The following is a 15,449-nucleotide window of genomic DNA, read 5'->3' as shown; positions in this document are numbered from 1 at the left end:
AATTCTACCCGAACTGAGTGACAGACGTTCCTAGAGAGAGATGGGCTAGTTAATCAGAATTCCAGTCCAGTAAAAAGAATAGACTTGTCCATAATTCAGAGTTGGATTCAAATCCCATCCCTGTAACTGGGAAGCTGTGTGACTTTGGACAAATTGCTGAATGTATCTGAGCCCCTCTAATCTGATCCATAAAATGGGAATGATCCCTGCACCTTACAATATTGTTGGCCGGACCCAGTGAAAGTAGCCAGGCATGAGCAAAACCCAGGGCCATGGCCTCCCTTCCTAAGATCAGGTCCTATTGTGTAGAGAGGAGCTTGTTGAGCTAGGAAACTTAGTAGCCTTTTCTGGCTTTCCTTGGTTTTCAGAAATTTTCTTCATCATCACTGAAAGGGAAAGGTGATTTTTCAGGCCCATGATCATGGGGATAATACAGTCCGAGGTGATGAAGGGACCCTGTTTCTCAACATGACTCTGTTTACTGTGAATCCTCAGCTATGCTCCTGTCCTTCCTACAAATTCAGAGTTAAACTTGATTCTCTCTGGGGCATCTCCCTTTCCCGCCACAGTACCTAAGTCAAAGATGTACTTGGTTCCAGAGGGGGAAGACACTGCAGATAGGCCTATATAAGAGCCAGTGGGATTTGGCACCCCTCAACTTACTCTGCAGAGCTGTTCTTTCATGCACATTGAACCTTAGGGAGAAGATGAGGTTCTCCATTGGAGGAATTTCAGGCAGAAGTGGTGGAACTGACCTTCACGTTTTTGTTGTTGCCTTATTTAGGTAATGAAGCAATTCAACTAAAACGTGTTTTTTTTTAATTATGAAATTATTATATGCACATACAAGAATATTTAGGACATATAGAGAAAAAATAAAGAACAATATCACCCATAGTCATGTCACCTCCAAATAGCTACTACTAACATTTTGACATGTCCTTTTAGTAGATTTACTATAAGATAGATAGATAACTAGATAGATAGATAGATAGATAGATAGATAGATAGATAGATAGATGTTTAGCAATTTTACTGTGCAATATAATATATAGAAAAATATGTAAAACATTATTTACAGTTTTGATACGAATTAAGCAATTCTCACCTAAACCATCACCCATGTCAAGAAATAGAATATTGCCTGCATTCCATAAGCCCTCCCCCAACACACCCACCATGCCTCCATTTCCAATTGTAACCCTGTCCTCCCTTCTGGAAGTGGCCAAGACCCTGTCTTTTATGCTAATCATGTTTTTTTTACAGTTTTCCCACTTAGGTATGCATAGAGCAGCTCTTTTATGTGATTCTTGACTGTTGGTAATGGATTCTCCAGCATCTAGCACATCTTATCAAACTAGATCAAACTTGCCTTTGGTTGAAGCAAAAACTGGTTATTAGACAACCCACAGTTGAATTTTAGCTGCATTCAGAGCTCAACAACTAAGTACTGCTGTGTAAGACCCTCTTCTGGGCCCTAACATTAGAAAGATACTGTGTCCTAACTAGCAAAGAGTCCATAGTCTATTTACAGAGCTAGAAAATGATGCTTTGGATCCTACTCCCTAGAGTCACACATGGATCCTTCCTTTCTGCACAATGATAGGATGAACTTTCTCCTTCCATAATGATTCCCTCTGGTGTAGACTCTGGTTTGGGCTGCTGCTTCTCTCTTTTGAATCTTTGGCACCCACATGAGCGTATTTATTTTTCTCCAGCTGGTACCAACCCTTGCAGGTTTTTTCCTAAGGCTCATTTTAAAATGTTACATCTTGAGTTCATCCTGGGTAAGAGGAGAACCTTTTAGGCAGGGGGTGGGGTAGAAAAAAAGAACAAATGTCTCAAATGACTTTTAAGTGTAACTTTGGATCTCTGAATCTTGATAACACCCTAGCAAAATGGTATCTCAGTCTCCATCCTGTGAGTGTGGAAGCCAACTCAGAAAGGGAAGTGACATGTTCATTGTCACTCAGATAGGAATTGGTAGCATGGATATCAGGACTCCAAAATAAGGACTCCAGTAACCACTAGATGACATTGGTGGGGATTTGAGAGCACTGGTTCTGGGGTCTGGCTTCCCAGCACACAGATTCCTGCTGTTCTAGTTGATGACATTGGGCAATGTAGTATCTGTGTTCTCATATGTACAACAGCATCTCAACATGGAGTTGTGGGGAAAGTTAAGGGGGATGATGTGCACTTCACCCATCACTCAATATTTAGTACTCAGTAAATAGCATGTAGAGAACAGTCAGACAGGCTACTGGGGAGGCCTTGGGAATAAAACCTTGAAGGGCCCTGCCCTGGACTGGGTGGTTAGTGCCTTGCTGGCCTTGCTGTGGGTGTTGCAGTTGATCCTGGATTCCCATCACTTGTGAGTTTCCTTCCACCCACGTCCGTCCCCAGAACACTGGACTTGGGAACCTCATCCTTTTCAATCCCCTGAGGGTCCAACATATATGGCATCTGTCTCCATTCAGAGAAGGATTTTTTTTCTTCTTTTAAATTGCTCTCTGCAACAAAAAATAAAATATGCATACCATCCAAAATTATACTCAACATAAGCTGAATAAATATATACCCACAGAAGCATATGCTCAATGGTTGCTGCTCTATGCTTTGCAAAGCCAACCAGCTTTAAAATCTTTCTCACTCACAGTCTGAGTGATCAATGAGAAGGTGTGATGTGAGGACACAGCCTCAAGCTGCTAATTGAGTTTTTAGTGACAAGAGATGGGGAAGCGATACCAGCCTGTTAAACCTAGCAGCATGGAAAAGTCCGTATGTCCAGCCTGCCCTAATGAAGGCCTGGCCCTGACCCCTGAATAAGTAACTCACTGCTAGGCACAAGTTATTTGGTATCAAGCTGTACAGGTTCAAATCCTGTCTCGATCCCTTCCTCTGTAATGAGACAAGTTGCTTTAAACCTCTTTAAGTCTTAATCTCCCAGTATTCAAAAAAAGGGTGAAATAATAGTACCTGCAAATTAATATATATTGGTGTTTATCCCTGTTTCTGGGCATATAACTTCTAAAATTCTTGTTATCATTAAAGTGATAAGTGTCTTTTGTATACTAATGAGTTGACTGATGGCTATCCACCCTTAGGTAGCTTCAGGGTGAGGGCTGGTCACAGGAAAGGCCAAGACAAGATTAGAGGGTTGGGACTTTTAGCCCCACCCCCAACCTCTGAACTGGGGAGAAGGGCTTAAAGGTTAAGTTGATCACCAGTGGCCAATGATTTAATCAATGCTGTCTAAGTATTGAAGTGTGCATAAAAATCCAAAAGGACTAGGTTCAAGAGTTTCCAGAGAGTAGAACACATGGGGGTTCCTGGAGGACGATGTGCTCAGACAGGGCATGGAAACTCCGTGCCTCTTCCCACATTATTTGCCCTGTGCAACTTTTCCATCTGGTGATAATTGGTATATCCTTTATAATAAACCAGGGAACATAAGTATTTCCCTGAGTTCTGTGAGCTGCTGTAGCAAGTTCATGAAACCCAAGGAAGGGATTGTGGGAACCCTGATTTATAGCTGGTCATCAGAAGCACAGGTTTAATAACCTGGGGCTTGGAATTGGCAGTGGAAATTGGAGGCAGTCTTATGGGACTGAGTACTCAACCTGTGGGATCTGACACCATCTCCAGTTAGATAGTGTCAAAATTGAACTGAATTAGAGGACACCCAGCTGGTGTCTGCTGAAAGATCTCCCAGAGAACTGGTTGCTGCCAGAGAGAAATTGCCACACACTTCTTGGTGACCAGAGGTCACAGAAGTGTTCTGTGTTGATTGTGTGGTGAGAGGGTATCACAGGAGAAACTGAGTTTGTTTTTCCTATGTCACACTACCTTACATGGTTGTTGTATGAGGAAGTATTGCGGAAGGGCTAAGAAAAGAGACTCAGGTGCCAGGCTTCCTGGCTCCACCACTTACTGGCCGTGTGACCTTCATCAAGTTAATACACCTCTTCGTGCTGCGCTTCAGATTCTCCATCTGTTAAGTGGGCATGATATTGGTGTTTGGTGTTTGCCACATAGGTTTGCTTTGAGGAGGGAATGAGTTAATGCACATTCAATGCTCTTAGGAGGAGACCTGGTTTCATAGTCAAGTGCTCAGGCAATGTCACAATAAGCTATTTTCCCCAAATACCTCCCTGCACTTGATCTGTAGCAAAATTCCCTCGGCTCTGTGCTACTCAGAGAAGTAATAGGACATGAGGCTTCTGAAAACAGAAAGACATCCAAGCATCTATGGTGAGGACCTGAAGCAAGTCATCTTCCCTCTCCAAGCCTGTTTTCCATCTGTGAGTGGTGAAAATAATGGTGCATTCTTTTCTGGGTTGTTGGGAAGATTTCATAAATTAGCATAGCCTAGCAGTGTGTCTGGTGTATGGGGGGTACACAACAGATGTTCATTTTCCTCCCAGCGCCTTGAACCCAGGTGAAGACAGTTAGAGCCTCTGCCTTGGGAACAGAGAGAGCTCCTTCACTGAGCCATGCCATCAGCCCAGAGGGTACAGCTTTGTAGCAGTGCAGACCTGAGTGGAGCCTCTGTCCCGCCCCACATCTAATCACTGTATGATCTTGGGAAGTTCTCTTACATCTCTGCACCTCAGGATATTATTCTTCCAAATGGCGTCAGCACCTCTCTCCATGAGGCTAGAAAAATATAACAGATGAGGAAGTAACTTAGAAAGCTTAACACATTGTAAAAGGCAGCGTAGTGTGGCTTCAGATCCTGGCTGTGCCACTCACTTGCCTTGTTTCCTTGGGACAAGTTCCTAAAGCTGTCTGTGCCATAGTTTCCCTCTCTGTAAAATGAGTAGACTAGTAGTTCCTATACCATCAGGCTGTGCACATAATGAGTTAATATTCAAAACACATCGAAACAGTGCCTGGCACATGATAAGTGCCATTAAGTGTTAGCTATTATTATTATTAATGAGCTACACAAAGGCTATTTATTATCATCACCAGATAGGTATTGAATAGACATTCCTCAGGAGTCTTGGCAGATTTTCCTAGGAAAGTGTTCCCTGGCCTCCCTTGCCTCAGCCCTTGGTGCTTATAAAAATCCTCAGCTGGGCACGGTGGCTCATGCCTGTAATCCCAGCACTTTGGGAGGCAAAGGCGGGTAGATCACAAGGTCAAGAGATTGAGACCATCCTGGCCAACATAGTGAAACGCCGTCTCTACTAAAAATACAAAAATTAGCTGGGCATGGTGGTGTGTGCCTGTAGTCCCAGCTACTTGGGAGGCTGAGGCAGGAGAATCACTTGAACCAGGGAGGCAGAGGTTGCAGTGAGCCGAGATTGTGCCACTGCACTCCAGTCTGGTGACAGAGCAAGACTCCATCTCAAAAAACAAAACAAAACAAAACCTTGAGAACTATAAGAATGTGCTTACTTACTTTTCTCCCCCCATTAGAATATATGTTTTTTTTTGTTTTTTGTTTTTTGTTTTTTGTTTTTTTTTTTTTTTTTTTGAGAATGAAGCTAAGGCTTTATAATTCCTGGAAGACAGCAGGTTCTGAATAGGCATTTGTTGAACTGAACCCTTGCTGTGTGCAGAAGGCTTCGCGACTGCCACCAAAAGGTTGACCAGCCATTTTAAGAGGCTGTAGGGGAAAGCTTCAAGCATGTTCCCAAGCCACTTGCACTAGAGCAGGTGCTGCCTACTGCGAGAACCTACCTCCCTTGGAATTCCTATTGACCACTGGCAGAGAACCATAGAATGTCCAAGATGGGAGACCCCTTACGGACCAGCTACCACTTTTCTCACTGGACAGTTAGGAAGATTGACGGCCAGAGAAGGGCAGGGATGTGCCCAAAGCAAGGATGGTAACCTGTGTCCCCTAATTACGTGGGACTCCTCTAATGGGAAAAGTAGCCAGCATATATTCAGATAATTAGCTGTGATCAGTGTGTGTGAGCAAACCCAGCCACGCAGTAGCATGCTGTCATTGCAGCACTGCTCTTGATCAGAAACCATCCTGAAACATGGCTTATCTCTCTCTTGGGGTTGATCCGGTCCCTCCAGTTGGTCTAGATTTTCTTTGAAGTTAGGAACCATTATGCCTTTCACTCTCTGCTTCCCTTTTATTAAAATACATTTTTAAAATTGTTTTAATTGTGATAAGATATGCATAACATAAAATTTATCTCCTTAAGCATTTGAAGTGAACAGTTTGGTAGCGTGATGCAAATTCACATTGTTGTACACCCAATCTACAGCACTTATCTCTCAAAACTGAAACTCTATACCCATTAAATAATTCCTCATTCTCCCTTCCCCCAGCCCCTGGCAACCACCATTCTGCTTTCCATCTCTGTGAATTTGACTGCTATAAGCACCTCATATAAATAGAGTCATATAGTATTTGTCTTTTTGTGACTGGCTTATTTCACTTAGCATAATGTCCTCAGGGTTCATCCATGCTGCAGCGTGTGTCAGAATTGCCTTCCTTTCTAAGGCTGAATAATATTCCATTGTGTGTGTATATGTATCTGTCAATGAACATTGGTTGTTCCTACCTTTTAGGCTATTATGAATGACAATGCTATGAATAAGGGTGTATAAATATCTCTTTAGGATTTTATTTTCAGGGCTTTTGGATATATATCCAGAAGTGCAATTGCTAGATCATATGGTAGTTCTATTTTTAATTTCTTGAGGAACCTCCATACTGTTTTTCATAGCAGCTGCACCATTTTACAATCCTATCAAGAGTGTGCAAGGGCTCCAATTTCTCCACATCTTCACCAACACTCATTATTTTCTGAATTTTTGGTAACAGCCATCCTAATGAGGGTGAGGTAGTTTCGATTTGCATTTCGCTAATGATTCACTAATCATTTTGGTCATCTTTTCATGTGCCAATTGGCTGTTTGTATATCATTTTTAGAGAAATGTCTATTCAAGTCTTTTGCCCATGTTTTAATCAGGTTGTTTTTTGTTGTTTGGCACATTTTTTATCATAAGCCATTTTGAACTATGACTTTTCTCCCTCTGGGAATTTACCTGATCTCTACCATTGGTCTAGATTCTTCCTGAAGTCGGGAACTCTCACATTTTCTACTTCTTGGTGCCTCCACAAGAAAGGAATGGTACGTTTGGGAGGCCGAGGCGGGCGGATCACGAGGTCAGGAGACCGAGACCATCCTGGTTAACACGGTGAAACCCCGTCTCTACTAAAAATAAGAGAAACAAAATTAGCCAGGCATGGTGGCAGGCGCCTGTAGTCCCAGCTACTCGGGAGGCTGAGGCGGGAGAATGGCGTGAACCCGGGAGGTGGAGCTTGCATTGAGCCGAGATCGCACCACCACACTCCAGCCTGGGCAACACAGTGAGACTCCGTCTCAAAAAAAAGAAAGAATGGTATGGTACAGTGGAGAGAGCAGGGGCCTGGAGTCAAACGCCCCCATGTTTGCACCCTGGTTCTGCTAGAACTACAAGGAAAGACATATCCAGCCACAAAGCCTCAGTTTTCTCTTCTGCAGACATCAAGCTAATAACAGCAATAACAGCAATCTCATAGAAGTGTGGGCCTTCAGCAAAGCAGTATAAGGAAAACACTTCCTATAGTGCCTGGCCCACAGTGTGTCCTGAAAGCATTTGAATTTCCTTTCTGGTGTCTTCAGTAAGTGTGTGTTGAAGGCTGCACAGATGGCTGGCATGTGGGGATAATGGCCTGTTGGTATTTCATTGGAACTCAAGCCAAAACTAAGCAATACAACCAGACATTTTATTACATTCCAAAAATATTTACTGAGCACTGAATATTAAGAGTGATAATAATCATAATAGCAACTTTTATAACAATCAGGATCTTACCATTGTGCTAGATACTATGTTAGGGACATTAAATGTCTAACTTTTTGTTTTTTTTTTTTTCCTCCGTAGCAATTCTGAGTAGGTGTAATTAGGCTCATTTTACTTTGAGGAAGTTGAGGTTCAAATGTTAACGAAGTGACTGGCTAACATTACATGGTTAGTAAGTGGCAAAGACAGGTGGGATTCAAGCCCAAGCTTGCTTGACCCCAAAGGCCACATTTGCCTTGCATACTGGCTTGTCTCCCTCCCACGTGCTGGACTGAGAAAAGGAAGCTGTGTGTATTACAGTCCCTGTCCCCAAATAGCTGTGGACTCGTAGGGAAACAGACTGTGACCCAGAAACCGTCCCACCTGGCAGAATAAAGCTTGTGCTAGGAGAAGAATAATGAACATGGGAGAAAAAGAAAACTGATTCTTTCTGATGTGGGACATCAAAAGGAAGAAGGAACTTCCACACAAGGATTTTTCATTCGTGACAGCACTCAATGTTCCCAGCAATCCCAGGAGGCGGTTATTTATTATTGAGTCTATTTTAGAACAGGAAAAACAGGACCAGAAAAGTGCAGTGACTTGCCTGAAGTCACACAGCTAGGAAATGACAGTATCTGGATTAATCTTATTTTTATTTTTTTGTCTCCTCAGCATTCTTCTGCTTTTTGAACTCAGGAACATAACCACAGAGACTGCTGAGAAATAATTTACAGAGTTTTTTAAAATTTGATTAAAAAATAATTTCAACATTTATTTTAGCTTCAGAGGGTACATGTGCAGGTTTGTTACCTGGATATATTGTGTGATTCTGAGGTTTGCAGTACAATTGATCCCATCACTCAGGTACTAAGCGTAGTGCCCAATAAGTAGTTTTTTAATCCTTGCACCTGTTTCTTCCCTTTCACCTCCCTGCCTCCTTCCCCCATCTGGTAGTCCCCAGTGTCTATTATTGCCATTTTAATGTCCATAAGTACCCAATATATAGCTCCCACTTTTTTTTTTTTTTTTTGAGACAGAGTTTTGCTCATGTTGCCCAGGCTGGAATGCAATGGTACGATCTTGGCTCACTGCAACATCTGCCTCCCGAGTTCAAGCAATTCTCCCCCATCACCCTCCCGAGTACCTGAGATTACAGGTGCCCGCCACCACCCCTGGCTAATTTGTTGTATTTTTAGTAGAGATGGGGTTTCACCATGTTGGCCAGGCTGATCTCAAACTCCTGACCTGAGGTGATCTATCCACCTTGGCCTCCCAAAGCACTGGGATTACAGGCATGAGCCACCACGCCCGTCCTAGCTCCCACTTATAAGTGAGAACATGCGGTATTTAGTTTTCTCTTCCTGTGTTAATTAGCTTAGGATAATGGCCTCCAGCTGCATCCATATTGCTGCAAAGGACATGATTTTTTTATGGCTGCATAGTATTTCAAGTGTATACACACCACATTTTTTTAAATCCAATCCACCAGTTGATGGGCACAGGTTGAGTCCATGTCTTTGCTATTGTGAATAGGGCAACAATGAACACACGGTTGCGTGTGTCTTTTTGGTAGAACGATTTATTTTCTTTTGGATGTATACCCAGTAATGGGATTGCTGGCTCTGAAGGATACATAAGATTCTTCAGGAAGAGGAGGCCAGGCCTGGCTGAGGGCAAAATGTGGAGAGAGATACTGAGGGTTGGACCCTGCAGAGAACAGGTGCTGCCTGGTAGTGCCTAAGTGGTTTCCAGATCCAGGTGTAGGCAGAGGTGAAGCAGGGGCGTGGTTTTCATTCTCTGCCAGGGAGCTCTCCTGGGGGATGGGGGCAGGCTCTGTCTCCTCCACTCTGAAGTCTCAGGCCCCCTGGTGGTGCCTGCAGCTGCTGTCCTTCATTACCAAGGACTATTGATCCCTGTAATCCTTTTTGCATGCCCTCCCCCCGCCCCACCCCACCCTCGCCGCTTCCCTCCTTGTGAGCACCGAAGTCCAGCACAAATTGAGCGGCAGCTGAATTGGCATGAGTTGATTAAAACTCCCAGTAATTATGGGATCTTGATTGATCCAAATCAATGTCAGCATTAATAGACGGGCTAGCTGGCCTGGTTGACAGATTGAGGCTGAGTGGCAAGAGGGGTGGGGGACTGGGGACTGGCAGAGCCTTTCCCACTCACTTATATGCCAGGAAGCACACCAGAGCTCTCCTGGGATGAGAAGAACCAGGCCCACTCAGTTTCTTATCAAAGGGATGGTTCATATTGAAGAATTCAGCAGCCCTTCTTCAGCCTGTGTGATCTTCAATAACCTTGCCTGTAAAATGAGTATATTGTATCTTAGAGGTCCTCTGAGTTTTGTGGGGATTAAAAAAGATAGCATATTGGGAAACATCCAGCTTATGGTAGGTGCATAATAAATATGCATTTCATTTCCTTCCTTGCATCTTTCCCTATCTCTTCTTCCCAAGATGCTGTACCTAATCTGTACATCCAAGACTATGCCACAAGCAACCTCTCTGTCCCTAAAGCACCAAAGTCCTCCGATAACTCATTACAGGGCCCTTCCCACAAGGTTCTCAGAATCTCTGTGTTACACTAGCCAGTCTGAACCACTTGTAACACCACAGACAAGCCACCTCCATGTGGTTCAGGGAAAAGAGAACCTCATTTGGCCCCATAGTCAGGGGGCCTTCAGTGGTGGGCTCAGTCAGACTCTTGCTTGCTGTATGACCCAAGGCAGCTCACCTGACCTCTGAGTTTTAGTTTCCTCATTGGAAAAGTAGGCATGGAAGAAATGCCTAACCATTTCCCTGTATATGGTTCCCTTACATTTCTCCCTGAATGTGTCCTATTTGGAGAAAGTAACAAGGTAACTACAATAGCAGTTAGCATTTAGTGAGCACCTGTCAGGCATCAGGCACATATCAGGTAAATGACCTCCTGGGATCCTCTCACAAGCCTAGTGAGGAAGGAGTTATTTTCTCCAATGTATAAATTGTGGAAACTGAGACTCAGAACAGCCAGGGCACACATTGAGGAAGTGGCTCAGTCAGACTTCATTCACAGTTGTGTCTATTCTTTGTGACTGACAGTGTATTCTGGCTTTCATTATGTGTTTAGTCTCGTTATTTTCACCTCTCATTTCATCTTTACTACTGCTGGGCATGGTGGCTCATACCTGTAATTCCAGGGCTTTGGGAGGCTGAGATGGAGGATCACTGGAGGTCAGGAGTTCAAGACCAGCCTGGTCAGCATAAGACTCCATATCTACAAAAAATAAAAATAAAATTAGAGTCAGTCTCCTCTCCCTCTCCCTCTCCCTCTCTTTCCACGGTCTCCCTCTCATGCCGAGCCGAAGCTGGACGGTACTGCTGCCATCTCGGCTCACTGCAACCTCCCTGCCTGATTCTCCTGCCTCAGCTTGCCGAGTGCCTGCGATTGCAGGTGCACGCCGCCACGCCTGACTGGTTTTCGTATTTTCTTGGTGGAGACTGGGATTCGCTGTGTTGGCCGGGCTGGTCTCCAGCTCCTAACCGCGAGTGATCCGACAGCCTCGGCCTCCCGAGGTGCCGGGATTGCAGACGGAGTCTCGTTCATTCAGTGCTCAATGGTGCCCAGGCTGGAGTGCAGTGGCGTGATCTTGGCTCGTGCAACCTCCACCTCCCAGCAGCCTGCCTTGGCCTCCCAAAGTGCCGAGATTGCAGCCTCTGCCCGGCCGCCACCCCGTCTGGGAAGTGAGGAGCTTCTCCGCCTGGCCGCCTATCGTCTGGGATGTGAGGAGCCCCTCTGCCTGGCTGCCCAGTCTGGAAAGTGAGGAGCGTCTCTACCCGGCCGCCATCCCATCTAGGAAGTGAGGAGCGCCTCTTCCCGGCCACCATCACATCTGGGAAGTGAGGAGCGTCTCTGCCCTGCCGCCCATCGTCTGAGATGTGGGGAGCACCTCTGCCCTGCCGCCCCGTCCGGGATGTGAGGAGCGTCTCTGCCCGGACGCCCCGTCTGAGAAGTGAGGAGACCCTCTGCCTGGCAACCGCCCCGTCTGAGAAGTGAGGAGCCCCTCCGCCCGGCAGCCGCCCCGTCTGAGAAGTGAGGAGCGTCTCCGCCCGGCAGCCACCTCGTCCGGGAGGGAGGTGGGGGGGTCAGCCCCCCACCCGGCCAGCCGCCCCGTCCAGGAGGGAGGTGGGGGGGGTCAGCCCCCCGTCCGGCCAGCCGCCCCGTCCGGGAGGTGAGGGGCGCCTCTGCCCGGCCGCGCCTACTGGGAAGTGAGGAGCCCCTCTGCCTGGCCACCACCCCGTCTGGGAGGTGTACCCAACAGCTCATTGAGAACAGGCCAGGATGACAATCGCGGCTTTGTGGAATAGAAAGGGGGGAAAGGTGAGGAAAAGATTGAGAAATCGGATGGTTGCCGTGTCTGTGTAGAAAGAGGTAGACATGGGAGACTTTTCATTTTGTTCTGTACTAAGAAAAATTGTTCTGCCTTGGGATCCTGTTGATCGGTGACCTTACCCCCAACCCTGTGCTCTCTGAAACATGTGCTGTATCCACTCAGGGTTGAATGGATTAAGGGCGGTGCAAGATGTGCTTTGTTAAACAGATGCTTGAAGGCAGCATGCTCCTTAAGAGTCATCACCACTCCCTAATCTCAAGTACCCAGGGACACAAACACTGTGGAAGGCTGCAGGGTCCTCTGCCTAGGAAAACCAGAGACCTTTGTTCACTTGTTTATCTGCTGACCTTCCCTCCACTATTGTCCTGTGACCCTGCCAAATCCCCCTCTGCGAGAAACACCCAAGAATGATCAATTAAAAAAAAAAAAATAATAATAATAATAATAATAATGAAATAAAATAAAATAAAAAAATCAGCTGGGTGTGGTGGCGGGCACCTGTGGTCCCGGCTACTCAGGAGGCTGAGGAAGGAGAATTGCTTGATCCCAGGAGGTGGAGGTTGCAGTATGCCGAGATCACGCCACTGCAGTCCAGCTTGGGCGACAGAGCGAGACTCCCTCTCAGGAAAAAAATATATATATACAAAAATTAGACCGGTGTGGCACACACGGGGCTGTAATTCCAGCAACTGTAATTCCAGCAACTCGGGAGGCCAACGCATAAGAATCGCTTAAACCTGGGAGGCAGAGGTTGCAGTGAGCCAAGATCGTGCCACTGCACTCCATCCTGGGTGACAGAGCGAGACTCTGTCTCAAAAGGAGTACATGAACGATCTTTGGGGATGATGGAAACTTAAATATTGGATCACGGTGCTGGTTGCACAATTCTGCAAATTTAAAATAACTGAATCATATACTTAAATGAGTAAATTTTATGATATGTAGATTATACTTCAATAAAGCTGTTGTTTTAAAAAAAATAAAAATAAAAATAAAATTAGCCGAGCATGATGGCACATGCCTGTAGTCCCAGCTATTCGAGAGGCTGAGGCAAGAGGATCCCTTGAGCCCAGGATTTCAAGACTGCAGTGAGCTATGATTGCACCACTGCCTGCACTCCAGCCTGGGTGACAGAGTAAGACCTTGTCTGTAAAAAATAATAACAATAAATAAAAAATATTTACCATAATTTTTGAGGCATACTATTGTTGAGAGGAGTACTATTAGTAGGAGGTGATACTGTTATTATGCTTTCTCTGGCCATGAGACTTAAAGAAATCAAATACTTACCTAGTCCTTGGAGGAGAACAAGTCATTGTTCATAGTCAAGCAGGTTTGGAGGCATCCTTGTGATGTCTTAAAACATGTTCAATCAATTCCAAGAAAATTCCCCATTTTCCTCTTAAATACTTCAGAGCTAATTTTCCCCTTTCTACAATTCACAGTTGCTTTGATAAAAACTGAGCAGTTAGCACTGAAAGTCTTCTCTGACTTCCTGCTGTCCAGTGCCTCCATTGAAGGAGACTGAGGCTCAGAGTGTTCTCATCTGAAGGCTCTCAGCCAGTTAAAGACCACAGCCCAGGCAGGGCGCAGTGGCTCACGCCTGTAATCATAATCCTATCACTTTGGGAGGCTGAGGCGGGTGGATCACCTGAGGTCAGGAGTTCGAGATCAGCCTGGCCTGGTGAAACTCCATCTCTACTGAAAAAAAAAAAAAAAAAATTGCTGGGCATGGTAGCACACGCCTGTAATTCCAGCTACTTGGGAGGCTGAGACAGGAGAATTGCTTGAACCCAGGAGGCAGAGGTTGCAGTGAGTCGAGATCGTGCCATTGCACTCCAGTCTGGGCAACAAGAGTGAAACTCTATCTCAAAAAGAAAAGAAAGCAACTGGAAATTTTTGGCTGGGTGCGGTGCCTCACAGCTGTAATCCCAGTACTTTGGGAGTGCTGAGGCGGGCGGATCACCTGAGGTCAGGAATTCGAGACCAGCCTGACCAACATGGAGAAACCCCCGCCTCTACTAAAAATACAGAATTAGCCAGGCGTGTTGGTGCATGCCTGTAATCCCAGCTACTCAGGAGGCTTGGGCAGGAGAATCGCGTGAACCTGGGAGGCAGAGCTTGTAGTGAGCCGAGATTGCACCACTGCACTCCAGCCTGGGTGACAGAGCGTGACTCTGTCTCAAAAAACAAAACAAAACAAAAAAAAACACAGCCAGGCAGAACTGGAATCCAGCAATCTGGAGAGCCATTCACATGCATTTATCCAGGGCCTGCTAGTGTTTGCCTGCCACCCCTACTTTGAGGATAATTTCATCATAATCCTTACCTTCCAGAAGGACAAACTGAGGCTCAGACAAGCCAAGGGACTAGCTCAAGGTGTCATAGCCAGTAAAAGGCTGGTTCTAAGACTAGTGCTGTTCCTTTACCCCACCTGCCTTTCAGGCCCAAGTTTGTAGCAAAGAATGAAATTGCCACACTGATGTCACCCAGGACCCAGGTGGGGCAGGGCCCCACCTCCAGCATCAGCAGGAAGTCCCCCAGGCTTATTTACCATATGATTCACTCAGGCCCTAGGACAAATTGTTCTGTTTTGTAAGTTGGTTGTTTTTCCTTCTGCTCAGAACAGCTGGCCCACCTTCTAGACCTGGGGGTGGGGTGGTAAAACAGCTCATTACAAATTTTGTACTCAGAGCAATTTGCATTCCATAATTAATGAACATTAAAATGCATAATTACAAACAGAAACAAATGGCTTGGTGATGATGAAAAGTCGAGCTAGGAAGCAGCAAAGAGCAGGTTCACAGTATGGAGGAAGAAGCTCGGGGGAGCCCAGCAGGGCTAGCCTGTGGGAGGAACCTATGGGAATCCTCCAGGCATCTTCCTCTCCCTCCCCGCTAGGTCTTCAAAATCTCAAGGCTCAGAGACTTGGGCTCAGAGTCTTCCTATGAGTCCTCCCCTGAAATAGAGCAGAATGAGGGATATGAGTCTCTGGAGCTGCACTGACCTGGGTTAGACTCCCCGCTTTCTCACCTACTTACTATAAAACCTCAGCAAAGAGGCACGCCTCCACATGCTAGAGTCCTTATTAGGCTGACTCACTCCCTTTCTCAAGCCCCTGCCCAGATGCACAGAGCCTGCTTCCCCAGACTCCTTTTGTGGACTCTAGGAAATTGCTTAGAGATAACTGGATTCACTAACTTCAGTAATCTCTTCAAAGTAGCAAACAAAATCACTTTATTCCTCTGCCAACAACCCTCCTATGCCT

General features: G+C 45.7%; 1 protein-coding gene and 2 long non-coding RNA genes across 7 annotated transcripts in view, besides 1 other annotated feature; 1 reads left to right on the top strand and 2 right to left on the bottom strand.

Annotated features, from left to right (window-relative positions):
* Window positions 1-15,449, top strand: part of ASTN2 (astrotactin 2) — a 991,946-nt gene that overhangs the window by 562,565 nt on the left and 413,932 nt on the right. The window lies entirely within an intron of this gene.
* Window positions 4,107-7,174, bottom strand: LOC105376238 (uncharacterized). Its single transcript, XR_930275.3, has 2 exons — window positions 7,021-7,174; window positions 4,107-4,659 (listed from the first exon to the last, which is right to left on the bottom strand). It is a non-coding gene; the product is annotated as an uncharacterized LOC105376238 (long non-coding RNA).
* On the bottom strand, window positions 9,365-14,648 carry LOC105376239 (uncharacterized). 3 transcript variants are annotated; one of them, XR_001746552.2, is made up of 4 exons: window positions 14,511-14,648; window positions 13,472-13,537; window positions 10,976-11,064; window positions 9,365-10,111 (listed from the first exon to the last, which is right to left on the bottom strand). It is a non-coding gene; the product is annotated as an uncharacterized LOC105376239 (long non-coding RNA). The 3 variants fall into 3 exon arrangements; XR_001746551.3 differs by lacking the exon at window positions 14,511-14,648 and having other exon boundaries at window positions 9,365-9,616; window positions 9,976-10,111; window positions 13,472-13,747; XR_930276.4 differs by lacking the exon at window positions 14,511-14,648 and having other exon boundaries at window positions 13,472-13,747.
* Window positions 11,156-11,900: an enhancer, noted in NCBI's record as "H3K27ac hESC enhancer chr9:119602872-119603616 (GRCh37/hg19 assembly coordinates)". NCBI's record gives its function as "activates a minimal SCP1, AML or CMV promoter by ChIP-STARR-seq in naive H9 embryonic stem cells {active_cell/tissue: H9 hESC(naive)}" and the evidence as "EXISTENCE:reporter gene assay evidence [ECO:0000049][PMID:30033119]".

The sequence above is a fragment of the Homo sapiens genome, chromosome 9 (genome assembly GCF_000001405.40).
Source record: "Homo sapiens chromosome 9, GRCh38.p14 Primary Assembly".
Lineage (NCBI taxonomy): Eukaryota > Metazoa > Chordata > Mammalia > Primates > Hominidae > Homo > Homo sapiens.
Note: the sequence above shows the minus strand (reverse complement) of the source record. Positions and strands in the feature narration are given on the sequence as shown.